The sequence below is a fragment of the Homo sapiens genome, chromosome 1 (assembly GCF_000001405.40).
Source record: "Homo sapiens chromosome 1, GRCh38.p14 Primary Assembly".
In the NCBI taxonomy this organism is placed as follows: Eukaryota; Metazoa; Chordata; class Mammalia; order Primates; family Hominidae; genus Homo; species Homo sapiens.
This window is the reverse complement of record NC_000001.11, coordinates 22426892-22454542: the sequence shown is the minus strand read 5'-3', so window position 1 is coordinate 22454542 and position 27651 is coordinate 22426892. Positions and strand designations below refer to the sequence as shown.

General features: G+C 41.4%; 1 protein-coding gene across 5 annotated transcripts in view, besides 8 other annotated features; it reads right to left on the bottom strand.

Moving 5' to 3' along the window:
• The window catches only part of ZBTB40 (zinc finger and BTB domain containing 40), a 102246-nt gene extending 76612 nt beyond the window's left edge, over window positions 1–25634 (bottom strand). For 3 of the 5 annotated variants that reach the window (XR_946804.2, NM_014870.4, NM_001330398.2), the window contains exon 1: window positions 2539–2692. The gene's annotated coding sequence lies outside the window, so the exon portion shown is untranslated. Of the gene's footprint in view, window positions 1–1596; window positions 1885–2538; window positions 2693–25528 lie in introns of those variants that run through there. The other 2 variants (NM_001083621.2, XM_011542499.3) reach the window with 2 other exon arrangements.
• Window positions 2202–2763: an enhancer, noted in NCBI's record as "H3K27ac-H3K4me1 hESC enhancer chr1:22778273-22778834 (GRCh37/hg19 assembly coordinates)". NCBI's record gives its function as "activates a minimal SCP1, AML or CMV promoter by ChIP-STARR-seq in primed H9 embryonic stem cells {active_cell/tissue: H9 hESC(primed)}" and the evidence as "EXISTENCE:reporter gene assay evidence [ECO:0000049][PMID:30033119]".
• Window positions 2202–2838: a biological region, named in NCBI's record as "H3K27ac-H3K4me1 hESC enhancer GRCh37_chr1:22778273-22778834".
• Window positions 2209–2298: a silencer, noted in NCBI's record as "silent region_402". NCBI's record gives its function as "represses an Ori minimal core promoter by ATAC-STARR-seq in GM12878 lymphoblastoid cells {active_cell/tissue: GM12878}" and the evidence as "EXISTENCE:reporter gene assay evidence [ECO:0000049][PMID:35858748]".
• Window positions 2409–2488: an enhancer, noted in NCBI's record as "active region_352". NCBI's record gives its function as "activates an Ori minimal core promoter by ATAC-STARR-seq in GM12878 lymphoblastoid cells {active_cell/tissue: GM12878}" and the evidence as "EXISTENCE:reporter gene assay evidence [ECO:0000049][PMID:35858748]".
• Window positions 2639–2838: a silencer, noted in NCBI's record as "silent region_401". NCBI's record gives its function as "represses an Ori minimal core promoter by ATAC-STARR-seq in GM12878 lymphoblastoid cells {active_cell/tissue: GM12878}" and the evidence as "EXISTENCE:reporter gene assay evidence [ECO:0000049][PMID:35858748]".
• Window positions 3153–3447: a silencer, noted in NCBI's record as "tiled region #2075; HepG2 Repressive DNase matched - State 2:TssF, and K562 Repressive non-DNase unmatched - State 2:TssF". NCBI's record gives its function as "represses a minimal TATA promoter and a strong SV40 promoter by Sharpr-MPRA in HepG2 and K562 cells {active_cell/tissue: HepG2 | K562}" and the evidence as "EXISTENCE:reporter gene assay evidence [ECO:0000049][PMID:27701403]".
• Window positions 10422–11041: an enhancer, noted in NCBI's record as "OCT4-NANOG-H3K27ac hESC enhancer chr1:22769995-22770614 (GRCh37/hg19 assembly coordinates)". NCBI's record gives its function as "activates a minimal SCP1, AML or CMV promoter by ChIP-STARR-seq in naive and primed H9 embryonic stem cells {active_cell/tissue: H9 hESC(naive and primed)}" and the evidence as "EXISTENCE:reporter gene assay evidence [ECO:0000049][PMID:30033119]".
• Window positions 11042–11659: an enhancer, noted in NCBI's record as "OCT4-NANOG-H3K27ac hESC enhancer chr1:22769377-22769994 (GRCh37/hg19 assembly coordinates)". NCBI's record gives its function as "activates a minimal SCP1, AML or CMV promoter by ChIP-STARR-seq in naive and primed H9 embryonic stem cells {active_cell/tissue: H9 hESC(naive and primed)}" and the evidence as "EXISTENCE:reporter gene assay evidence [ECO:0000049][PMID:30033119]".
• Window positions 25635–27651: the final 2017 nt, after the last annotated feature.

The window sequence follows — 27651 nt, the reverse complement described above, 5'->3', positions numbered from 1 at the left end:
CTGGTTCCTTGTCACTCAACAAGTTTCAGCTTAAACTGCCTTTCTTAAGAGAGGTTTTCCCTGACCACCCAGATAAAAAGTGAGTCTCCCAGGTTAGTGTCTCTCTCCGTGCTGTTTTATTTCCTTTAGAGCAGTTGCCACAATTTGGAATAACTTTGTTATTTCTTTACTGTCTTGACACTAGGCTTTAGCTTCCAGAACAGAGCCCCAGGTCCATCTTGCTCACCCTGGTAATCACAGGACCTAGACAGTGGTGCTTGGTACATGGAGACACTAAAATATTTGTTCGAGGCCGGGCGCGATGGCTCACGCCTATAATCCCAGCACTTTGGGAGGCTGAGGCGGGCAGATCACTTGAGGTCAAGACTTCAAGACCAGCCTGAACAACATGGTGAAACTCTGTCTCTACTAAAAACACACAAAAAATTAGCCGGGTGTCGTGGCACATGCCTGTAGTCCCAGCCATTCAGGAGGTTGAGGCAGAAGAATCACTTGAACCCGGGAGGCGGAGGTTGCAGTGAGCCGAGATTGTGCCACTGCACTCCAGCCTGGGCAACACAGCGAGACTCTGTCTCAAAAAAATAAATAAAATAAAATAAAATAAAAATTTGTTCAATGAATGACCTAGATTTGTTTACTTGGTATTTACCTGCAAACACCAGGTTGTGGGTACTGGCTAGCAGCTGAGGATAACAACAGTAAGGTGTGGTCCCTGCCCTTAAGGACCTCCTAAGCTAGTAGGAAAGACAATAAACAGATGGAACAATACAGGGTGTTCAGTGTGATCAGATTAGCTTCAGCTCTCAGCTGAATGCCTTAGCTATGTAACCTCGAACATCTCTCCGACGTGAGTTTGTTTCCTCTATGCGTAAAATGGTAATATTAATACTACTTATGTCATAGTATTGGTGTGAGGATTAAGTGATAGTCCATATAAATAAAGCACTTAGCACAGTACCTGGCACAAAATAATCACTCAGTAAATAGCAACTAATAATTTTATTATGATGATGCTATTACAGCTGTATTTGAAATTATCTTTGTCTACCTGTATACCACTTGTCCAAGCCCCACATAGAATTTAAATTCCATGGAAGGGCAGAAATCATATTTGTCTTGTTCACCACTGTATTTCCAGGAATTTGAAACGTCTCTGGTACACAGTAAGTGCTCAACAAACACTAAATGATTAATGAATGCATGCGTACATGCATGGGGTGTTCTGAAACCATTTGTTAAACCACTAATGAATAGCTAAGTTTGGGGACTACTGACATAGAAGAAAAGTGTTTATATTAGAAAGGAGGGGCAGAAGTTTGATGATTTAGCTAAGTAGAAAAAAATTTCACTGAGATTGTAATTAAATCTCCATTAACCATACAAAGATCTGGGTACAATTCCAGGGAAGAACAAACAATTCCAGGTAGAAAAGACTTGAAAGAATAAAATCCAAAGCAGTTTGACCGGTGCCATCAGGCAGGGGGCTCCCAGGGACAGGCTCAATTTGGCAGCCCTATAACCTAGTACACCTATACATATATTAACCACTCAGAACAAATTTCTTCCTCGTTTGTAAAATGGAAATACCATACTTACTTATAAAGCGTCGTCATAAAGTAGAACAACACTTGTATGAATATAAATAAAGCACCTGGTTCATTGCAGCACTGGCTGCATGGTACCAACGCTATTCAAAGCAGGAGAAACTCTGAATAGTCAGTAAGACCAGAAGGGAAGCCAGAGTGTTCTGTCAACTAAAGTGCTCTCGGTGCATCGCGCAGTTTTAACTCTTTTCCCACTCCAGAAGAACCGACGAGAGGAATAGCTGAATGACAACACTGATCCAATCTCCTTGTGTTTAGGGCAGGGGTCAGTAAACTTTTGCTGTAAGGGACCAGACAGAAATATTTCTGGCTTTGTGAGCCAGCCGATCAAAGCCAAGCAACGGCTGCGCAACTACTCAGCTCTGCCCTCTTGGCAGGAAAGCAGCCATAGACAATACATCAACAATGAACAGGGCCGTGTTCCAATAAAACTTCATTTATGGACTTGATTTCATAGAACTTTCGCAAATTACATGAAATATTCTTCCCCCTAACCATTTGCAACTGTAAACAAAGACCGAGAGGGGAAGAGAGAAGGGGGGCATGGATTAGGCCCAAGGCCATAGTCCGCTGACGCCCGGCGAAGGGACCTGAAGGGAGGGGGAGTGAGACAGCGACAAGAGGCCTCCGGACGGGCCGAGAGGGAGGTGCGGGGCGACAGCGAGCCCCAGGCGGTGTCAGGTCGGGCCTGGCGCCCTGAGTGGGTCCCCGCGGTCTCTCCCCTCCGCAGTCTACAGCAGAGCCGGCGCCAGGGGTGCGGACCGCCCCTGGAGGGGGCACGTCCGGGGTGTAGGTGAGGCGGCCGTGATTCGGCCGAGTCCCGCGGAGTTCGCCACGCGGAAGGGTCTGTATACACCCCTCATTTAGGGCGCACCCGGGCCCCCGCTGCAGGAAGGGTCTCCACGCGGAGTCCCAGCCCCGTTTCTATGGTTACCTGTTCAGCACCGATTCAAACTGCCGTTCTTTATTGACAGCGCCATAGAGGACACGAACACTCCTGCCCGAAGGGAACAATAAAGCTTTCGCCATTCAACAGCGCCGGAGACGCCAGAAGGCGGCCATCTTGAGGCCGGCGCGCAATGGGTATCAGAGGGGAGGGGGCGGCCCGACCTGCCCCACGCGCCGCGGTCACGTGCTGGGGGCGGGGCCTGCGTCACGCGCTCGCTCTCCACCTATGCTAGGACGGCGGGGGCCGGCTGGTTGCTAGGCTCTTCTCTGACCTCTGACCTTGGCCACTCCCTCCTTCCCTCCCCACACTTCCTAAGTAAAGTTTTTTTCTTTTTTTTTTTTTTGAGATGGGAGATTCGCTCTTGTTTCCCAGGCTGGAGTGTAGCGGCGCGATCTCGCCCCACTGCAGCCTCCGCCTTCCAGGTTCAAGCGATTCTCCTGCCTCAGCCTCCCGAGTAGCTGGGATTACAGGCGCGCGCCACCACGCCCTGCTAATTTTTTTTTTCTCTTCTATTTTTAGTAGAGACAGGATGTCACCATGTTGGCCAGGCTGGTCCCGAACTCCTGAGCCCAGATGATCCACCTGCCTCGGCCTCCCACCATGCCCGGCCCTAAGGAAAGTTCTAATGGAGCTCCGCAGTCTCGCTCCGGCAGCTCTAGGATTAGGATTTTGTTTCAAAGGAGGGCAAGGAAGTGAACACAAAAGGCTTCGTTTTTCCAAAACAACACATTCACGTGCGAGGCGGAGAGGCGACCTGAGCCGCGTCCCCAGCCCGCACTCTTTGTGGGACAGGCTTGGCGCTGGTGGGGCGCAGTGGGCTGAAGGCATCCTGGAGGCATCCTGATCCTGCCTCTCGCACCTCCCAATTTTGGGATTTAGGGGCTTTGGGATTTAGTCCTAGCTTTTCTTTTGCTCATTTTCCTTCTCACACACTATGCGTTCCCTGTTGAAGCGTCCCCTTGCCACCCTTCCTTACACAAACATTTAAATCAGATCCAGCAGTAACAAACTGAGTCACCTCCGCGCTGGCCCACTGAACACAGTCACCCTGTCACTGACATGCAGCCACTTTTTCTGTCCCTGACAGTTACGTGCCCAAATCCAGCCATCTTAGTGCAATGTCCAGCTTCCTCTGTGGTTATACCTTTTCCATCTGCAATGTCAATATTCAGTCGTTCTGAGAGCTGTCTCTGGCTGACTGACTCACCCCATCACCGTTTTACATCACAAATTCAATCTACTGGGCAGAACTGTCACTTGCATTGTTGCTGTCTCCCGGTCGATCATATTTACTGTCACTGTCTGACATGCAGCTACCGTCATTGACCATAAACTTCAAACGGTTCTGTTCAAAATAGCACTTTGTTTGCCCAGCTGTTGCCCTTTCTGTTGTTTTCACTGTCATTGTCATGCAGCCACTTTTGCTGCCACACAGTCAAGCCAGTATTTAACAGGCCCCTTCAGGGTACACTGTTGTCCTCATACCCTTGTGCCCAGTTAGTCACTTTCACTATTATACTCATGTCACCGTTACATTCAGGGTCGGATTTACTGTAGCTGTTATTTAGTCACTTTTGTAGTAACTGGAACCACGCCTACAGCTGTTGTGTCTCCTAAGCCCTCATTTCCACCAGCCTCACATTCTCTTTTAGTGGGAACATAGGGTTGCTAGATTTAGCAAACAAACACCTAGAAGGGTGCTTGGCACATAGTAGGTGCTCTAGAAATATTTATCGAGTTAATGGGATTACAGGTGTGAGCCACTGGGCATTTTGGGAGCATTTTGGGAGGCCGAGGCAGGCGGATCACCTGAGGTCAGGAGTTCGAGACCAGCCTGGCCAACATGGTGAAACCCCCGTCTCTACTAAAAATAGAAAAATTACCTGGGCATGGTGGCAGGTGCCTGTAATCCCAGTTACTCAGGATGCTGAGGCAGGAGAATCGCTTGAACCTGGGAGGCGGAGGTTGGAGTGAGCTGAGATCACGCCACTGCACTCCAGCCTGGGCAACGAGAGCGAGACTCCGTCTCAAAAAAAAAAAAAAGAGAAATATTTATCGAATTAATGGATTTTAAAAAACAGTATCATTGCCAATGTGCTGTATGTGAATGCAGATGGCTTGAAGCTCAGGAGTCTCAATAGGAATAAGTTTTCAGGCACCATCTGTCCCTCCTGTTCCACTTAACAAGACTTCAAATCCTATAGGGACTAAACGAAGAGAGCAAAAGAAAAGTGGCCACCAAGTGTACTCAGTTATTGGGACAGCAGTGACAAAGAAGAGGCTTTCTATAACTTTTTTTAAATGAATACATGCTTATTATAAAATATTTAGGAAATATGGAAAGGAATCTTTCCCTGGGGGGATTGTTTTAGACATCTCCCAACACACCCCACACATGTATCCACAGTCAGTGGATCAGTGGCTGCAGTTTCCCCATCACCATTTACTTAAGGTTTTGCATTAACAGAAGTTCTCATGGGGCTGACTTGCCTACAGTTCATGAACAACGACATACTGTCATGGAGAGCAATGGCTCTGGCTTCTGGCTGGTCATGATATGGAAGAATAAGAAGACAATGGCTAGACCTTCTAGACCTTGTAAGGGCCTCATCTCCCCACAGAGCTTCGACAGCTGCGGAGAAATAACCTGTGCTTCCCGATCACCAGAAGGACCCAAACCTTGACTTTGAGGGGGAGGGTTGAGAACTTTTCAACTTTTTTTCTACTTTAGAAAAGAGTGTTCCCATGCCACCACCCAGTGTAAGATGCCCGAGGTGCCTCTGCTAAACTGCCAGCTGTTTCCAGAGTGACTACTATATGCCAAGAACACTGAGGTCAACAAAACATGTTCCTGGCCGTAGTAAGAAATAACAACCGGCCGGCTGCGGTGGCTCACACCTGTAATCCCAGCACTTTGGGAGGCCGAGGCAGGCGGATCATGAGGTCAGGAGTTCAAGACCAGCCTGGCCAACATGGTGAAACCCCATCTCTACTAAAAATACAAAAAAAATTAGTTGGGCATGGTGGTGCTGGCTTGTAATCCCAGCTACTCAGGAGGCTGAGGCAAGAGAATTGCTTGAACCTGGGAGGCAGAGGTTGCAGTGAGCCGAAATCACGCCACTGCACTGCAGTCTGGATGACGGGGCAAGACTGTCTCAAAAAAAAAAAATTTAAAAAGAAAAAAAGAAATAACACAACCACCACGACTTCTCCTGCTAATAATAGCAATCATTTATCTCACTCTTTCTTCCAGGTACCATGCCAAGCCCTTTAATTAAATTATCTCATTTAATTCTTGTAACCACCTAATGAAGTAGGTAACATTTTTACCCCCATTTTATACAGGAGGAAACAGACTTAGAGGGCGTAAATAATTTGCTCAAAAAACACAGCTACTAAATAGTAGAGTTAGGGTTTAAACCTAGGAGGTCTGACTGCAGTCTGCACTTTTTTTCAACCTGTAGTAATAACTTTTGGGTTTTACAAAATAAATGTGTTTATTATAAAGAATTCAAGGATTACAGAAAAACACAAAAGAAAGAGTAAAACAGAATCGCTGTAAATCCTAGCACTTAGCAGCAACGTATCATTATAGATGAGAATTTCTCCCAACTCTGGGCATATTTACATGGGTTGATGGGGAGATAATAATGATAATAATGACAGCTTCCATGCAATAAGCACTATGTGCTGGACATTGTTTTAAGCACTTTCCATGAATTAACACATTTAATTTATTCCAAGAGAGATAGATCGATTGACATAATTTTATTAAAATGAACTCATTTGACATATTCAGGGTTCACATCAACAGCCAACCACCTGGTGATGTTTTTCCCCAAAGCTGGTTCTTTCCTCAGTTTTGCTGTCTTCTCTCCACATTCCAATCAAATTCTATGCCCAGAGTCCTTGGGCTGCAAAAGCTGAGTCTTTAAATAGCACCCTCTGCACAGCTGCTGTCCGGTCAAATGTCTCTGCTGTTCCCCAAGGCAGTGGTGTTATTTGTGGAAGTGAAGTTTGCTGGAGGCTCGACATATGCTTTTTATTTGTTCGAGTAGGTGTCTGGGCCTTGGCATTCACTTTCCTGGCTTTCTAAGTGTTAGAATTTCACTACCTTTTTTCCAGTCCAAATGAAGCTCAGTCTTCAGCTCTTGCCCAGTGGATACCAGACAGTCTCAGATGAGGCTGCTGTTGGAATTTGCCAAATGACTCAGAAGGGTCAACTGCCTGCCTGCTTATCCATCCCAGATGACAAATGCCGAGGAGGAGGGAGACTGCCTTGCTCCAGCAGGGCTGCCCAGACAACAGTAGCACTTCTGCGGGCCTGACCCTATGAATCCCTCGCCTTGGTTGCCCCTAAGGCAAAAGGCACTCACATTTAGAAGGATGGAATAGTTTCCACTGAGATGGCTCACAGGCCCGTCATATTTACCTGATCCAAAACTGGAGTGATGATTTCCCAGCCAAGCCTGTTTCTCCCCTCAGGGTTTCTAGCTCCAAGATGATAGCCCACCTGCCATTCTCTGCCCACTTGCTCAGGTCAGACACCTGGGAATTGTCACAGACATCTCTCTCTCTAACCGTCAACCACTCACCAAGTCTTGATTTCACCTCTGATACACTCTGTCCAGGTCCACAGCCAAAGTCCAAATCACCTTTACCTCTTAACTACTCTACTACCCTCCCCCTGCAACCACTTTTCATATCCTTTACAATGTTCTGCAGACAGCAAGCCAGCATGATCTTTCATTTCCTTTAGAATCAACTTTACCAAGGTATAATTTACATATAAAAATGTACTCATTAAAAATGGAATTTTGGCAAATATATGCACCTGTGTAACCATTACCAACCATATCAAGATTTAGAACTTTTTTTTTTTTTTTTGAGATAAGGTCTTGCTCTGTCGCCCAGACTGGAGTGCAGTGACACTATCATGGCTCACTGCAGCCTCGACCTCCTGGGCACAAGTCATCCTGCTGCCTCATCTCCCTGAGTAGCTGGGACTACAGGTGCATGCCACCATACCCAGCTAATTTTTGTATTTTTTGTAGAGATGGGATTTTGCCATGTTGCCCAGGCTGGTCTCAAACTCCTGAACTCAAGGGGTCTGCTTGCCTCAGCCTCCCAACGTACTGGGGTTACAGGCGTGAGCCACCGCGACCAGCCTCTAACCTATATAATTTTCCTCCTCTCTAAAGAACTTCTTTTCACCTTTCTTGCAAGTTAGGTCTCCTGGCAACAAATTCCCTCAATTTTTGTTCGTCTGAGAAAGTCTTTATTTTTCTTTTACTTTTGAAGTTTAATTCCACAGCGTACAGAATTCTAGTTCGGTGGAGTTTTCCCTCAACACTTTCAATGTTTCTCTTCATTTTCTTCTGCTTGCAAGGTTTCTGGAGAACTTTCATGGAGAAGTTAGATGTAATTCTTGTCTTTGCTCCTCTGTAGGTAAGGTTTTATTTTTCTGTGGCTTCTTACAAGATTTCTTCATCTTTGGTTTTTCTAAACTTTGAAAATGATATGGTTAGGTAGAGTTTTTGTTCTTTTGCATTTATCATACTTGGTATTCTCTGAGCTTCTGTGATCTGTGGTTCGATGTCTGACATTAATTTGGGAAATTATCCGTTATTCTTGTTTCAAATATGTATTCTCTTTCTTTCTTCTTCTGACATTCCCATTACATATGTTGCACCTTTTGCAGTTGTCTCACAGTTCTAGGACATTCTGTTTTGTTTTTCTGTCTTTTTTTCTCATTTTTTTTTTTTTCAGTTTTGGAGGCTTCTACTGACATATCCTTAAGCTCAGAGATTCTTTCCTCAGCCATGTTCAGTGCATTATAATAAGCGTATCAAAGGCATTCTCCATTTCTGTCACAGTGTTTTTATCTCTAGCATTTCTTGTTGGTTCTTTCTTAGAATTTCCATCTCTTTATTTACATTGTTCATCTGTTCTTGCACGCTGTCTCCTTTATCTATTAGAGTTCTTAGCATGTTAATTCACAGTTGCTTAAAATCCCTGGTCTGATAATTCCAACATCCCTACCCAGTGGGGCTGGTTCTGATGCTTGCTTTGTCTCTTTAAATCATATGTTGTTGTGTTGTAGTTGTTTCAGTTTTTTGTTTTTTTTTTTTTTTTGAGACGGAGTCTTGCGCTATTGCCCAGGCTGGAGTGCAGTGGTGTGATCTCAGCTCACTGCAACCTCCACCTCCCAGGTTCGAGCAATTCTGCTGCCTCAGCCTCCCAAGTAGCTGAGACTACAGGTGTGCACCACCATGCCCAGCTAATTTTGTATTTTTAGTAGAGATGGGGTTTCACCATGTTGGCCAGGCTGGTCTTGAACTCCTGACCTCATGATCCGCCCACCTTGGCCTCTCAAAGTGCTGGGATTACAGGCATGAACCATCGTGCCTGGCCGGTTTTTTGTTTATTGCCTTTTGGTATGCCTTGTATTTTTTTCTTGACAGCCAAACATAATGTACTGGGTAAATAAGATCTGTAAATAGGCCTTTAGTGATGTGGTGGTAAGGTGGGAGGATATGGGAAGTGTTCTCCAGTCCTGATTAGGGCTCAGCCTTTTGGTGAGCCTCTGCACCTGGACTGTGAACTTTACAAGTGCTTCTCAGTTTTTCCCCTGATTTAGATGGGGCAGGATGGCCTCAGTGGGCTGGAATTGGATATTTCCCCTCTTCCACATGGAAAGCCAGAAGGGGTTAGAGTTGGGTTTGTCCCTGTTCCCAGATAGTCTAGTCTTTGGTAAAACCTGTAAATCAAAAATAAAATTCTAACCCCCCAAAATTGGCTGAACGTGTTACAGTAGGTAGTTTGTCAGACATGAGCAGGGCAGGAGATGATCTCCCCAACCAGGAATGTTGGGCAAGTATTTTAGCCATAGGAAATGTATTCAAGTCACACAGCACCAAAGTATGTTAGCACTAAGGAACGTACCTAAATCACATGGCACCAAAGTATGTTAGCAGCTGTGAATCTGTATGGGTCTGCAGCAACCTCAGTTCTTGCCTCCTCAGAAGAAAGAATTTGACCAAAGGGCATAAGGCAGAGTGAGAGACCAAGGCAAGTTTTAGAGCTGGAGTGGAAGTTTACTAAAAAGTTTTAGAGCAGGAAGGAAAGGAAGTAAAGTATACTTGGAAGAGGACCAAGCGGGTGACTTGAGAGATTCAAATACGTGGTTTGACCTTTGACTTGGGATTTTATAGACCAGCATGCTCCTGGGGAGTTGTGTTTCTTCTCCTTTCATTCTTCCATTGGGGTGGGCTGTCTGCATGAGCAGTGGCCTGCCAGCACTTGGGAGGGGAGCATGCACAGTGAGTTTACTGAAGTCGTACGCATGCTCACTTGAGGCATTCTTCCCTTACCAGTCAAGTGTTCCTAGAAGGTCATCTATTAACACCAGTTAAACTCCACCATTTTGCCTCTTAGTGCACATGCTTGAACCCACTCGCCCAACTCCTGAGATCTTATTGGGAAGCTGCTGATCACCAGTTTCAGGCTTTTTCTATCTATTGGGAGACTGCCTTTCCTTGGTAACACTGACCAATTATTATTTTATTTTATTTTGAGACGGAGTCTCTCTCTGTCGCCCAGGCTGGAGTGGCATGATCTCAGTTCACTGCAACCTCTGACTCCTGGGATCAAGTGATTCTCCTGACTCAGCCTCCCAAGTAGCTAGGACTACAGGTGCCCACCACCACGCCCAGCTAATTTTTATATATATATATTTTTAGTAGAGATGAGTTTTCGCATGTTTGCCAGGCTGGTCTCGAACTCCTGACCTCAAGTGATCCACTTGCCGTGGCCTCCCAAAGTGCTGGGATTACAGGCATGAGCCACCGCACCCAGCGACCAATTGTTATTTTAGAGAGACAGTGTAACAACCACCTGACCATTACCTGATGGTCACCTAACATTCCTGGCGGAGGAGTCCCTCTCCTGCCCCGCTTATGTCTGACTACCTACTGGAACAAAGGGACCCCCATTCTTCACCAAGGGAATCCCAAAGAAACCTGAAAAACTAGTTCAAGCCATGATGGGAAGGGAGGTTGGACATGCCTAGTTATACACCCTACCTTTGGAGTTTATACACTACTGATCAGCATTAACATTAAAATAGAGATCATAAGACTGACAAAACAGACTGTAGCAATAAGATACCAAATTCCAACCTGACATCACCTGACAGATAGCAGGCCCTGAAGGAAATCAAAGTATTTTACCCCAAAATATATTTCTTTGACATATTTTGAAATGGCCTTGCAAAGCCGTCTCTTGCGGGGGAAATTTGCATTCTATAGAGAATCTCCTTCCCTTTCTAGGTCTTTTCCGGATCCAGGAGAGATTTAAGTAAGAGTCTGACACCTTTTAAGATCCGAAAAGAGACATTTACCATCTATTCTCTCTGAAGCCTGCTACTTAGGGGGTTCATGTGCATAACAAGAACAACTACTCTTATCTTAACTCAAGCATTTCTTTCTGCTGACTTCAACTCTTTAGATAAAGCTTAACTCTTTCAACCAATTGCTAACCAGAAACTCTTTGAATCCACCTATCACCTGTAAGGCCCTTGCCCCTGCTTTGAGATGTTCTGCCTTTCTGGGCTGAAATAATGTATATCTTACATATATTGATTTATGTCTTTGCCTGTGGCTTCTGTCTCCCTAAAATGAATAAACCAAACTGTAATCTGATCACCTTGGGCACATGTTCTGAGGACCTTTTGAGACTACCCCGGGCCATGGTCACTCATATTTGGCTCAGAAAAACCTCTTTATATATTTTATAGTATTTGGCTTTTTTAATCAAAAAACCCCAGCAGGTTAGATTCTGTTTAAATAATTTTCGTTGAGACTTTGTTCGAGAGAGAACGTAACGTTCTGGAGTATTTTGAAATGATTATTTTTTCTTCTTCCCCTGTTGGAAGCATCAGGAGATTTTTCTCAGATATTCACTCTGAGAACCTGGCCAGAGCTCCAGGAGGTAAAACTCACAAAAGTGTGGGAGCCTTCAGATTAAATACAACTGGAAGATGTAGTAATTATAAATATTTATGCACCCACTTACACACCATCAAAATATGTAAAGCAAAAATGGACGGAATTGAAGGGAGAATGATATAGTTCTTCAATACAGTTGGAGACTTTGCTACCCCACTCTCAACAATGGATAGAACAACCATATAGGAGATAAGAACACAATAAACCAACTAGATCTTGTTAGGGACAAGCTGCCCCAGGACTCCCCACCTCCACCCAATGCAGCTGACCCTTACCCTGAATACTCTGCAGCTGCATTCCTGGACCTTTATCTAGGTGCTACAGCAAGGTCACCAGACTTGCTTACAGCCCTCCGGGTGGCATGGGGGAGGTCACAAGAAACATGGATAAACCTAAGTTACACCCTCTTATAAATTCCTATATTGTAAGCAGTTCTCAAGATGATATGTGGTAAAGTTAACCGACAAACAACCCCAGGGTCTCTCTCCCCCATATAAACCCATCATTTTGTAAGCTCAGGGCTGCCTCCTCTGACTGTGGCGACAAACAACCCCAGGGTCTCTCTCCCCCATATAAACCCATCATTTTGTAAGCTCAGGGCTGCCTCCTCTGACTGTGGCAGAGCAGCCCAGCAGGTTAATAAACTTTCTTGCCTGACCTTGGGTCTCTCTCTCTCTTGTCCTTTCTCTCGGCTAACCTTACAGATCTAACAGAAATATACAGAACAGTCTACACACCACTGCACACACATTCTTCTCATGTGCACATGAGACATTTTCCAGGATAGATTATATGTTAGGCCAAAAAGTAAGTCTCAATAGACTTAAAAAGATAAAGATCATATAAAGTATCTTCTCCTACCATAATGGAATGAAGTTAGAAGTCACTAATAGAAGTAAAAGTGGAAAATGCACAAATTTGTGGAGATTAAACAACGCATTCTTAAACAACCAATGAATCAAAGAAAACATTAGAAGAGAAATTAAAAAATACTTAGAGAAGAATGAAAATGAAAACACAATATACCCAAACTTGTGTAATGTAGAAAAAGCAGTTGTTAAGAGGTAAATTTATGTGTATAAATGCTTACATTAAAAAACAAGAAAGATCTAAAATCAACAACTTACCTTCACAACTTTAGGAACTAGAAAAAGAAGAACAAACTAAACTCAAAGCTAGCAAAGAAAGCAAATAATAATGGCCAGGCACAGTGGCTCATGTCTGTAATGCCAGCATTTTGGGAGGGTGAGGTGGGCAGATCATCTGAGGTCAGGAGTTTGAGACCAGCCTGGCCAACATGGTGAAACCCTGTCTCTACCAAAAATACAAAAATTAGCCGGGTGCAGTGGTTTAGGCCTGTAATCTCAGCTACTTGGGAGGCTGAGGTAGGAGAATCACTTGAACACAGGAGGTGGAGGTTGCAGTGAGCTGAGATCATGCCACTGCACTGCACTCCAACCTGGGTGACAGAATGAGACTCTGTCTCAAAAAAAAAAAAAAAAAAAAAAGAAAGCAAATAATAAAGACTGAAGCAGAGAGAAACAAGAGAGAACAGAAAAACAATAGGAAAAAATAAACTGAAACTTGGTTCTTTGAAAAGAACAAAATTGACAAATCTTTAGCTAGACAGACTAAGAATAAAAGAGGAGACTCAAGGACATTACTACTAATTCTAGAGAAATAAAATGGAGTATAAGAGAGTACTACAAACAATTGTATACCAACAAATTGGATAACCTAGATGAAATGTATAAATTCCCAGAAACACAAAACCTACCAAGATGAAATCACAAAGAAATAGAAAATCTGAACACACCTATAATCAGTAAGGCGATTGAATCAGTAATCAAAAATATCCTGACAAAGAAAAGCCCTGGACCAAATGGCTTTACAGGTGAATTTACCAAACATGAAAAGAACAACTAATACCAATTATTTTCAGAATTTTCCAAAAAATTGAGGAGGAGGAAACACTTCCCAACTCATTCTATGAAGCCAGCATTACCCTGATACCAAAGCCAGACAAGGGCACTACAAGAAAAAGAAAACTATAGACTAATATCCATTATGAACATTAATATAAAAATATTTCTCAAAATACTAGCAAACCAAATTCAGCAGCATAGTAAAAGGATTATACACAATGACCAAGTGAGATTTACTCCTGGAATGCAAGGATGGTTCAACATACAAAGCTCAATGTAATATACCACATTAACAGAATGAAGGAAAGAAAACCACATGATTATCTCAGTTGATCATCTAAAAAAGCATTTGACAAAACATAACACCCTTTCATGATTAAAAAAAAAACACTCAACAAGCTAGGAATGAAAGGAACTACCTCAACACAATAAAAGCCATATATAAAAAATGCACAGCAAACCTCATACTCAGTGGTGAAAGACTGAAAGCTCTTCCTTAGGATCAGGAACAAGACAAGGATCTCCACTTTTACCACTTTTGTTCAAAATAGTATTAGAAGTTTTACTTGTTTTGTTTGTGTTTTGGAGACCGGGCTCTTGCTATTTTTCCCAGGCTGGACTCAAACTTCTGGGCTCAAGCAATTCACTTGCCTCAGCCTCCCACATAGCTGGGACTACAGGCATGCCACCTCATCCAGCTTAGTATTAGAAGTTTTAGTCAGAGCAATTAGGCAAGAAGAAAAAAATAAAAGGCATTCAAATTGGAAAGGAAGAAGTAAAATTACCTCTATTTGCAGATGATATAATCTTACATATAGAAAACCGTAAAGATTCCACCAAAAAAACCTGTTAGAGCTAATAAATGAATTTAACAAAGTGGCAGGATACAAAGTCAACACACAAAAATCAGTTGTATTTCTATATATTAACAATGAACATCTGAAAAGGAAATTACAAAAACAGTTCCATTTACAATAGTGTCAAAGAGAATAAAATAATTTGGAATTAACCAAGGAGGTGAAAGACTTTACAATGGATACTATAAAACATTACTGAAAGAAATTAAAGAAGACATAAATAAATGGAAACACGTCCCATGTTAATGGATTGGAAGGCTTAGTATTGCTAAGATGTTAATATTACCAAAAGCTATCTATGGATTCAATACAAAACACCAATGACATTTTTTGCAAGAATAGAAAAAGAACACATTCTAACATTTATATGGAATATTAATGGTCTCCAAATAGCCAAAACAATCTTAAAAAAGAACAATGCTGGAGGACTCATGCTTCCTCATTTCAAAACTTACTACAGAGCTACAGTAATCAAAACAGTGTGGTACTGGCATAAAGAAAGACACAAACACTAATGGAGTAGAATAAAGAGCTTAGAAATAAATGTTCCCCATATATGGTCAAATAATTTTTGACAAAGACACCAAGGCCATTCAATGAGGAAAGAATAGTTTCTTTTCAGCAAATGGTGCTGGGAAAACTACATATGAAAGAATAAAGTTGGACCCTTATTTAACACCGTATACAAAAATTAATTCAAAATGAATTGAACACATAAATGTAAGACCTAAACTATAAAACTCTTAGAAGAAAACATGAAGCAAAAGCTTTGCAACATTGATTTGGTAATGGTTTCTTGAATATGATGGCAAAGGCACAGACAATAAAAGAAAAAATGGACAAATTGGACTTCACAAAATATTAAAAATTTTGTGCATGAAAAAAATAAACATAGTAATAGGGAAACCCATGGAATGAAAGAAAACATTTATAAATCATATATCAGATAAAGGCTTAATATCTGTAACATACAGAGAACTCTTAAAACTCAACAACAAAAATAAGTCCCAATTTAAAAATAGGCAAAAGACGCAGGCCAGGCATGGTGGCTCACGCCTGTAATCCCAACACTTTGGGGGGCCAAGGCGGGTGGATAACAAGGTCAGGAGTTCGAGACCAGCCTGGCCAATATGGTGAAACCCTGTCTCTACTAAAAATACAAAAATTAGCTGGACGTGGTGGTGGGCACCTGTGGTCCCAGCTAATCGGGAGGCTGAGGCAGAAGAAGCACTTGAACCTGGGAGGCGGAGGTTGCAGTGAGCCGAGATCATGCCACTGCACTCCAGCTTGGGCAACAGAGCAAGACTCTGTCTCAAAAAATAAATAAATAAATAAATAAAATGAAATAAAAAATGGGCAAAAGAATATTTCTCTAAAGAAGATACACAAATGGCCAATAAGCACATGAAAAGATGCTCAACATTAATAATCATTAGGAAAATGCAAATCAAAACTTCAATGAGATACCGTGTCAACACTCATTAGGACAGCTGCTATAAAACAAAAAACCAGAAACTAGTAAGTGTTGGCAAGGTTGTGGAAAAACGGGAATCCTTGTGCACTGTTGGTAGTGTAAAACAGTACACTTGCTGTGGAAAACAGGATGGTGGGTCCTCAAAAAGTTAAAAATAGGATTACCATATGATCCAGCAATTCCACTTCTGGGTGTATACTCCAAAATTGAAAGCAGGGTCTCAAAGAGATATTTGTACACCCATGTTCATAACAGCATTATTCACAATACATAAAGCATCAAAGCAACTCTAAGTGTCCATTGACTGATGAATAGATAGCAAAATGTCATATATAGACACAATGGACTGTATTCAATATTAAAAAGGAAATAAATTCTGCAATATGCTACAATGGGGATGAAACTTGAAGACATTATGTTAAGTGAAATAAGCCAATCACAAAGAAACAAATATGATCCTACTAATATAAAATACCTAGAATAGTCAAACTTACAGAGACAGAAGGTGGAATGGTGGTTACCAGTGGCTGGAGGGAGAGGGACATGGGGAGTTATTGTTTAATGGGTATAGAGTTTTTTGGGTTTTGTTTTTTTCGAGATGGAGTTTCACTCTTGTTGCCCAGGCTGGAGTACAGTGGTGCGATCTCGGCTCACTGCAACCTCCGCCTCCTGGGTTCAAGCGATTCTCCTGCCTCAGTCTCCCAAGTAGCTGGGATTACCGGCATGTACCACCACACCCGACTAATTTTGTATTTTTAGTAGAGACAGGGTTTCTCCATGTTTGTCAGGCTGGTCTCGAACTCCCGACCTTGAGACCAGGTGATCAGCCTGCCTCGGCTTCCCAAAGTGCTGGATTACAGGCGTGAGCCACCACACCCGACCAGAGTTTTGGTTTCACAAGACGAAAAGAGTTATGGAGATGGATGGTGGTGATGGTTGCACAACATTATGATTGTATTTCGTAACACTAACTGTACACTTAAAAGTAGTTAAGATGGTAAATTTTGGCCAGGAACAGTGGCTCACGCCTGTAATCCCAGCGCTTTGGGAGGCTGAGAGGGGCAAATCACCTGAGGTCAGGAGTTCGAGACCAGCCTGACAAATCGGGTAAAACCCCGTTTCTACTAAAAATACAAAAATTAGCCGGGTGTAGTGGTGCGTGCCTGTAGTTCAGCTACTTGGGAGGCTGAGACTGGAGAATTGCTGGAACCTGGGAGGCAGAGGTTGCAGTGAGCTGAGATTGTGCCACTGCACTCCAGCCTGGGCAACAGAGTGAGACTCCATCTCAAAAAAAAAAAAAAGATGATAAGTTTTATGGTATTATTTTGCCACAATAAAAAAATCGAAAAAAAAAAGTATGTGCACTCCTCCAACATGACTGGGTTCCCTGGAGTTTTTATGTCTCAAACTTGTCCACAATGAGCCTCTAGCAATTCATCAATCACAATTCAGGTTTCCTTACCCAGCACTAGTTTCCATGGAGGTTTATTATGCTCTGGTAAATTATGATTTCTGTATCCACCTGTCTGTTTCTCCAATTCTGGGGCAGTAATTTGCCCTATGACGTCACTTCTCTACAAATCTAAGGGTTGTTGATGTTTAGTTTGTTTGGCTTTTACTTATTGTTAGGATGGAGTGGCAACTTCCAAGTTTCTTACATGCCAGCTTGGAAACTAGACATCCTAGAACATTTTCATCACGTGCAAAAGTTCCCTTGTACTCTTTCCCAGTTCAACACTCTCCCTCCCCCTCTAGACTTGCCCATCTTCCCATCTCTCCAATCCTCATCTCCCAACAACCACTGATTTGTTTTCTGTCCCTATAGATGACTTGCTAGAATTTCATATTCAGAATTTCTAGATATGAAATTTTAGAATATGTTAACATGTTACATGTTATACAACACTACATATTATATATGTAATATATATGGAATTCTAACATATCCTAGAATTTCATATCAGCGAAATTATATAATATGTAGTGTTTTGTGCCTGGCTTCTCTCACTCAGCATAACGTAGTTGAGGTGTATTCATATTGTTACATTTATCAGTTTTGTTTCTTTTAATTACTGGGCCCACTGATATGGATATACCACAATTTGTGTATTCATTCACCTGTGTGAATGTATGAATTTGTGTGTTTCCAGCTTCAGGTATTATGAATAAAGTTTATGAGTATTTATTTTTATTTTTTTATTTTTTATTTTTTTGAGATGGAGTTTCACTCTTGTTGCCCATGCTGGAGTGCAATGGCACCATCTCGGCTCACCGCAACCTCCGCCTCCCGGGTTCAAGCGATTCTCCTGCCTCAGCCTCCTGAGTAGCTGGGATTACAGGCATGTGCCACCACACCCGGCTAATTTTTTTGTATTTTTAGTAGAGACAGGGTTTCACCATGTTAGCCAGGATGGTCTCGACCTCCTGACCTCGTGATCCACCTGCCTCGCCCTCCCAAAGTGCTGGGATTACAGGCATGAGCCACCGCGTCCGGCATGAGTATTTATTTATGTGCAAGTCTTTGTGTGAACATATGTTTTCATTTCTCTTGTTTAAACACTTAGGAATGTGAAGACTAGGTCATATGAACCTGGGAGGCAGAGGTGTTTATGCACCTTTATAAGAAATTACCAAACAGTTTTCCAAAGTGGTTGTATCATTTATACTTCCATCATCAATATGCAAGAGTTCTAGTTACTCTACATCCTCATCAACAGTTGGTGTTGTCAGTTATGATTCTCCTGCCTCAGCCTCCCAAGTAGCTGGGATTACAGGCACCCACCACCATGCCCGGCTAATTTTGTATTTTTTTTTTTTTTAGTAAAGATGGGGTTTCACTATGTTGGCCAGGGTGGTCTCTAACTCCTGACCTCAGGTGATATCCAAAATATATTTTGGATTCAAGTCCTTTGTCATATGTATGTATTATGAATATTTCAGTCTGTATTATGAATATTTTCATCTTCATAAGGTATCATTCAAAAGCAGAAGTTTTTAACTGTGATGAAATCTAATTTATCACTTTTTTTCTTTTAGGAAGAAAATTATTGTCACAGTATATCTGCTTCATTGGGAAACCCTGGTGCATTTCTCCTAAAATTAGGAGCAATACATGGATGCCCACTCTCACCACTGTTCTTTAACATTAAATTGAAGGTATTATTCTGTACAATCCAAGAAAAATGAGAGATAACAGGATTATATAACTAGAAAGCCCTAAAGAATCAAATATATTAAGAGAGAGAGAGAGAGAGATGTGGGGGAAGGAAAAAGAAGTAAAATGTGCTAAGATAAGGTGGAGATGGAATATTAAACAAATATACAGAAACCAGTTAGAAGAGAAAAATGGAATAAAAGACTGCATTTACAATAGCAAGGCAAGATAAAATACCAATGTATATGCTTCAAAATATTAGTGAAGGATAAGCTGGGCACAATGGCGCATGCCTGTAATCCCAGCACTTTGGGAGGCCAAGGCAGGAGGATCACTTGAGCTCAGGAGTTCAAAACCAGCCTGGGCAACATAGTGAGACCCAATCTCTATAAAAAATACAAAAATTAGCTGGGCATGGTGGTGGGTGCCTGTAGTCCCAGCTATTCAGGAGGCCAAAGTGGGAGGATCAGTTGAGCCTGGGAGGTAGAGGTTGCAGTGAGCCGAGATCACACCACTGTACAGAGTGAGATGCTGTCTAAAAAAAAAAAAAAAATTAATGAAGGATAAAACGAAAAACTCGAGCAAACGGAAACACATACCATTTCTTGACCAAGAAAGGTAAACAACGTAAAAATGTTAACTCCCAGCAAACATACCAACACGTTTTTTTCTGAAACTGGAGAAGCTGACTATCAAGTTCAAATGGAAAAACAAGCAACAAAGAATGTGGAGAGCCAGCCCTGCCAGATATTAAACTATATTTTAAAGCTTCAACAGTTAAAATAGTGAATAATTAGCACATCAACAGACAAACCAATAGAACAAAAAGAAAGTCCAGAAATACACCAAGATACATACAGAAATTTAGTTTATGCTAAAGATGTGAAGTAAAGATAAACTTTATAATTAAAAGTTGGGGATAACTGGGTAATAATTTGAAAAAGAAGTTTTATCTATACCTCACATCTTATGCTAGGATAAACCATAAAAAGATCAAAGACTTAAAGCTAAAAAATTGTAGACATTAAAGTACCAGGAAAAAATGGGCAATTTCTTTATAACCCTGAGGTGGCAAAGACCTAATTGAGTCAAATTCCCAAAACCATAAAAGAAAAGATTGATAAATTCAATCACATTTTATAAAATCCATAAATAAAGTCTAAACGCAAATAACAACCTGGGAAAATACATTTGAAACTCATATTACAGACAAAGGATTCATTTTCCTAATATATGAAGAGCTTCTAGAAATTCACAAGAACAAGACCAAAAATCTTCAAAATCTTAGAAAAATGAGCAGAGACACAAAGAAGCAGTTAATACATATGAAAGGCACGAAAATGACTTATAAATACTCAAAAAGATGCTCGATTAATTCATAGTATTATTATGCAAATGAAAACTACCCTGAAATATCTTTTCTTCACCTACTCATTAGGAAAAATTCTGGAAGTCTGACAATGTGATGGTAAACGGGCATTCCCATCCATTGCTGGTTGAAATGGAACTCCACTCTACGATCCCTATGCAGATTAATAATACCAACATTTTAAAATGCATTTTCCCAGTGACCCAATAATTGCACTTCTGGGATTTTATACATACCTGCATGTGTACTAAAGAATGTATATACAAAGTTATTCACTGAAAGGATTCCTGAAATAGGAGAAAAGTAAAATTCAAACAAACAAAAAAAAAACTAGCTTAAATACATTGTGATACATCCATATAATGGCATATTATGCAGTTTAATTAAATAATTAATGAATTAATTTTTGAGACAGAGTCTCACTCTGTCACCCAGGCTGTATTATGTAGTTTTAAAGAAGTGAAGAAGCTCTAAGCATCTTTATAGGGAAATAACTTCAATACATAAAATCAGTCCATATCGGTGGAGGGTTAGTTCTAGGACTACAGGGGTAGTCCTAGAACTAACCCTCCACCCCCGTATATCAAAATCCATGGATGCTCAAGTCCCTGATATCTATAATGGCTTAATATTTGCATATAACCTACACACATCCTCCTGTATACTTTAAGTCATCTCTAGATTATACTACTTAATAAAATGTAAATGCTAGGTAAATGGTTGTTGTACCATATTTTTAGCTGTCTTTTTTTTTTTTTTTTTTTTTTTTTGAGAGGGCGTCTTGCTCTGTCGCCCAGGCTGGAGTGCAGTGGTGCGATATTGGCTCACTGCAAGCTCTGCCTCCTGGGTTCACGCCATTCTCCTGCCTCAGCCTCCCGAGTAGCTGGGACTACAGGCGCCCGCCACCACACCTAGCTAATTTTTTGTATTTTTAGTAGAGACGGGGTTTCACTGTGTTAGCCAGAATGGTCTCGATCTCCTGACCTCGTGATCCACCTGCCTCGGCTTCCCAAAGTGCTGGGATTACAGGTGTGAGCCACCACACCCGGCCTAGCTGTCTTATTTTCTATGATTGTGTTGTTCTTTTGTATTTTTTCCCCAAACATTTTCGATCTGGTGTTGGTTGAATCCATAGATGTGGAACCCAAGGATACAGAAGGCTGACTGCATGGTTAACTTTACAAAGATATAGAACAGGGATCAACAAACCTTTTCTGTAAAGGGCTACATAGTACATATTTTCAAATTTGTCTGCTATATAATCTCTGTTGCAACTACGTGACTTGCTTTTCCATTGTAGCATGAAAGCACTTAGACGATACATTCAACAAATGAATGTGACCAGAATTGGCTCTGGATTTGTCCTACTGGAAGTAATTTGTCAAACTGCTGCACTTACATTACAGTTGCTATTTGTGTGCTAATGGTGGTGATGGGCGGCAGATATAAGAATATACATTTGTATTTGTTTAAAAACATTGGAACAATATATAAGAAAAATGGAGTATGTATCAGTCAGGAGACAAAAACCATGGAAATCTGAACAGGGAATCTGAATAGAGACCTCGAAAGCAACACTTTCCAACAGGACTTTCTGCAATGAAGGATATGTTCTATAACTTTACTATCCAATGTACCTGTATGGCTATGAAACACTTGAAATGTAGCTAGTGCAACTAAGAAACTGAATTTTTAATTTTACTTCATGTTAACTTGTATTTAAATAGAAGTGACACATTTGGCAAGTGGTCGCCACATTAGATAGAGCAGCTCCAAAGAATACAGACGGAGCAGATGTTGGGAGTAGCTGCTGCCTCTAAGGCTGAGTGTACCCAAGGAAGGGACAAGGTTAGGAGAGTCCTTTCCCCAACCCACCCCAAGGTTGAGATGCAGACCTCATTGGGGAGTGTGTGGCTATAGCCCACAGGATGCTGGAGTGTATCTATCACTATATTTCCTATACACCTTTTGCAGAGAAGCCATCCATTGGTAGCTGCATTATACAAGCCAGAAGAAAAGCACCCAGAACCAGGAAGAGAAGCCCTTCCTCTTTCAGTTTCCCTCAGTACCCTCCACATAAAGTCTAGCATTTTGCCATCTGCAAAATGGGAGTAATGTTCAGAGTCTACCCCCAGAGTCACAAAGCAGCATAAAGAAGAGTGAATTTACTCCAGAACTATGCAAGAATAAATGTCTGTTGTTTCAATATATTTTTTTTTTTAGCTGAAAAGTAAGAAATTGAAAACTGGCACAGGGCAAATGGAAACCAGGCGGGAGCAAAACTTTTCATTGTATACCATTTCATATTATTTTGAGTTTGAATAATGTAAACATATTACTTACCCAAAAATTAAAAACAAGAAGATAAAAAAATACCATCAAATACAAATTTTAAAAAACCTAAGACAGCAAAGCATCCATACAAAGAAAAAGGGCCACATTTATCAGCAAAAATTTTTTTTTTTTGAGATGGCATTTCACTCTTGTCGCCCAGGCTGGAGTGTAGTGGCACAATCTCAGCTCACTGCAACCTCTGTCTCCAGGGTTCAAGAGATTCTCCTGCCTCAGCCTCCCGAGTAGCTGGGATTGCAGGTGCCTGCCACCATGCCCAGCTAGTTTTTGTATTTTTAGTAGAGGGGTTTCACCATATTGGTGAGGCTGGTTTCGAACTCCTGACCTTAGGTGACCCACCCCCCTTGGTCTCCCAAAGTGCTGGGATTACAGGCGTGGGCCACTGCACCCGGCCAGTAAAAGATCTTTACACTGAGGACGTATAACAATTACTATATATACATATATATATATATATATATATATACACACACACACACACACACACAAAATATATATGTATATACACTATATAATATATATATACAATATAAATATATACTGTATATTCAATATATTCAATATATACAATATTGTATATATTCAATATATACAATATTGTATATGCATACTATATATAAATGCTCCTAATAAATTAGAAATACATACACTAATCTGCTGATAGACTTTACAATCTACTGAAAGACTTTACTGTCTTTACAAGGCAAAGCAGGTGAATTTACAATGGCAGTTGGAGATATAAACATAACCCTCTCAGAAACTGATAAAGAAGAGAGAACAAAAGCAAGGATACAGAACATTTGAACAATTAATGAGCTTAAGTGAATATATATATAACTTCATCCACAAACCCAGAATACAAATTATTCTCAAAATCATATATAACATGTAGAAATGAATTATGTGCTAAGCTACAAAAGAATTAATAAATTACTAAGAATTGGCAACATATTGGCTAGTTATCTAAATCAAATGCAGTAGAAGTGGGAACTAATAACAAAAAAGCTCATATGTCTGAAAACTAAAAACTATATCTCTAATTAACCCATGGGGTAAGGACAATATATAAAAAGAAAAACTGGCTGGGCATGGTTCCTCACAGCCCAGGTAAGCCAACCACGGAGGCTGGGATGGGAGAATTGCTTCAGCCTAAGAGTTCAAGACCAGCCTCGGCAACATAGTGAGACCCTATCTCTACAAAAAAAAAAAAAATTAGTCGGGTGTGGTGGCATGCACCTGTAGTTCCAGCCACATGGGAGGCCAAAGTGGGAGGATCGACTAAGCCAGGGAGGTTGAGGCTGCAGTGAGCCGTGATTGCTGCAGCCTTGGCCTCCCAGGCTCAAGCAATCCTCCCACCTCAGCCTCTAGTGTAGCTGAAACTACAGGTGTGTGCCACCACAGCCAGCTAATTTTTAAAAATTTGTTGTAAAGACAGGGTCTTGCTATGTTACCTAGGCTGGTCTCCAACTCCTGAACTCAAGTGATCTGCCCTCTCAGCCTCCCAAAGTGCTGGTATTACAGGTGTGAGCGACTGCACCTGGCCTAAATGTTGATATTATAACCAGATAAGGACAGTATGAGACAAGATTATTATAGGCCAGTTTTACTTATAACTACAGATGCAAAATTCCCAACTCAAAAAACCAAAGTAGCATTTATTTTAGGAATGTACAGATGATTTAGAGTCAGATAAATCTATTGAGGTATTTCAGATTAAAGAAGAAATTACAATGTTTTAATAGATACAAGAAAACACTTATTAGTGATTATAGTAGCTTCTTAAATAAAAGATACTTAGATAAAAGAACTTTATCAAAAACTTACAGCAGACATCATACTTTTTTTATTTTTTTGAGACGGAGTTTCACTCTTGTTGCCCAGGCTGGAGTGCAATGGCGCAATCTCAGCTCACCGCAACCCTCCGCCTCCCGGGGTTCAAGCGATTCTCCTGCCTCAGCCTCCCGGGTAGCTGGAATTACAGGTGTGCGCCACCATGCCCAGCTAATTTTTTTGTATTTTTAGTAGGGATGGGGCTTCACCATGTTGGTCAGACTGGTCTCGAACTCCCAACCTTAGGTGATCCACCCGCCTCGGCCTCCCAAAGTGCTGGGATTACAGGCATGAGCCATCGCGTCTGGCCAGCAGACATCACACTTAATGGAAAAAAAATGTAGATTTCCCATGAATATGGAAACCAGCCCAGTATACTTTCCAATACCACTACTGTTTAATGTGGTACTGGGAACCCGGTATATAATAGTGGCATCACAGTTCAGGGAAGAAAAATGAATTACTTAATAATGCTGATGGGAGAATTGGATGGTAAGGTGAGGAAGAAAGTCAACATACTTCCAGCTGGATTAAGGACCTAATGTGAAAAAGCAAAGTTATAAAACTATTAGAAAAAAAAAATGTAGGCAAATGCCTTTGTGACTTTGCGATCAGTAAGAATTTCTTTCTTTTTTTTTTTGAGGCGGAGTCTTGCTCTATCGCCCAGGCTGGAGTGCAACGGCGCTATGTCGGCTCACTGCAAGCTCCGCCTTCCGGGTTCAGCCATTCTCCTGCCTCAGCCTCCCGAGTAGCTGGGACTACAGGCGCCCGCCACCACGCCCGGCTAATTTTTTGTATTTTTAGTGGAGACGGGGTTTCACCGTGTTAGCCAGGATGACCTCAATCTCCCGACCTTGTGATCCGCCAGCCTCGGCCCCCCAAAGTGCTGGGATTACAGGCATGAGCCACCGCGCCCGGCCCAAGAATTTCTTAAAGAAGAAAATATCTGGATTTGACTACTTCAAAATGAAAGACTTTTGCTTGTATCAGTTAGATTTAGACTTACTAGCAGTCCGGGGCTGGCATCCGGGATGTTTCCCCAACCTCAGCACATGGCTCTGACCTTTCAATCCAATATTCCAACCGGCAAGAAGGAGGTAACTGGAAAGAAGAAAGAAAGGAACTCTTTCTTTTCAAGAATATTGCCGACAAATTTCCCACATATTTTCTCTTATATCCTATTGGCCAGAACTCAGTCACATGGCAACACCTGCAAGGTATGCTGGGAAATGTAGTCTTTATACCCGGAAGCCTTGGATCCAGTTACAAATCAGAGTTTGTATTTGTTTTAACTAGGAAGTAAAGGGAGGGCAGTTGTTGGAACTGGCTAGTAGCTATACAACAAAGAAATACCATAGACGGAGTTCATGCCAATTCGACTGAGAGAATATATTTTCAATATACATGACTGGCATTAATATCTGAAATGAACAGCAAAATCAGAAACAACAAAAAAAGTAGGGAGATAACACTATGTAAAAACATGGAAAGGATATGAGCAAGCAACTCATAGACGAGGAGACCAGAATGGCTAATAAACAGAAAAAGAGATGTTTCATCTTATTAATAATCAAAGAAATGCAAAATAAAGTGAGAAATGGCTACTAGTTTACATCCAATGATAAAATATAGGATAATATCAAACAGCCAGGGATGTGGGGAAAATGCAACCCTTATGCACTGCGGGGGTGAGCAAAAAATTTTTTTCCCACTTTTTAAAAACTATAGATTCAGTGGGTACCTGTGCAGGTTTGCTATATGCTTATATTGGGTAATGCTGTGGTTTGGGCTTCTGGTGAACCCATTATCCAGATTGTTCACATAGTATCCAACAGGTCGTTTTTCAACCTTTGTGACCCTCCCTCCCTCCTTGGGAGTGAAAATTGTTGCAGCCACTTTGGAGAGCAATTTGGAGATATTTAGTGATATGGACAAAGTGCATATCACTTTATAATGTAAATCCTGTCCTGTGTATAAACCCCAGAGAAATTCTTGCTTAAGTATACAAAGAGATATATTCAGAGATGTTTACTGCAGCATGGTTTATAACAACAAAATTGGAAGTAACTTAGATGTTCTTCAATAAATAATTATTAAATATAATATGTATAAATGATGGAATATAATACAACAGTAAAAAAGTACTAAATCTATATTAATCAAGACCAATAGATGTCAAAGAAGCAGAATGAGCTATTAGCCATGTATCACTATATACATTAAACATACACACATATGTCATATGTTGTTTATATAAATGCACATGTATGCATTTAAAATGCAAATACAGTTATAAATGTAAATAAAATGGACAGAGAACCTTGGGACAGTGTCTATGGGGCAAGGAGAATGAGACTGGATATAGAAGATAAAAAGAAAAAAACTAAATTAAAAAATAAAGTAGGCCAGGCACAGTGGCTCACACCTGTAATCCCAGCACTTTGGGAGGCCGAGGCTGGGTGATCACGAGGTCAGGAGTTCGAGAGCCGCCTGGCCAGTATGGTGAAACCCCGTCTCTACTAAAAATACAGAAATTAGCTGGGCGTGGTGGCGCACGCCTGTAGTCCTAGCTACTCGGGAGGCTGAGGCAGAAGAATCGCTTGAACCCTGGGAGGCAGAGGTTGCAGTGAGCCGAGATTGCGCCACTGCACTCCAGCTTGAGTGACAGAGCGAGACTCCATCTCAAAAAATGAAATGAAATAAAATAAAATAAAATAAGTAATAAACCTGTGGCCAGACTGAAGCTCCTTAAGGGTAGATCTGAGTTTAATTCACCTCAGATTGAATTCATCTCATTCAAGTCACAAAGCACCCAGCTTTACAAATAATTGGGCGCTTGATAATATTTCATGAGTGAGTGAATGACTACTCCCCAAACTGAGTATCCCTGAGTCTGACGTGCTACAGCACGGGATTTGTGTAATGACTTATAAGAATATTTTCCTCTTTGGGGCTTCCATCATTTGCCTCCAATGGCTTAATCTCATCAAGCATCGCACATACAATTTCAAGTTATTTCTTGTGAGGCCATTATCATCACTGGGTGGTGGTGGTTGTTGTTTTTTTTTTATTTGGAATTATGTTTCTAAAGCATCTCCTTCCCTGCAGGTTTTGAGCCATCTGTGATAA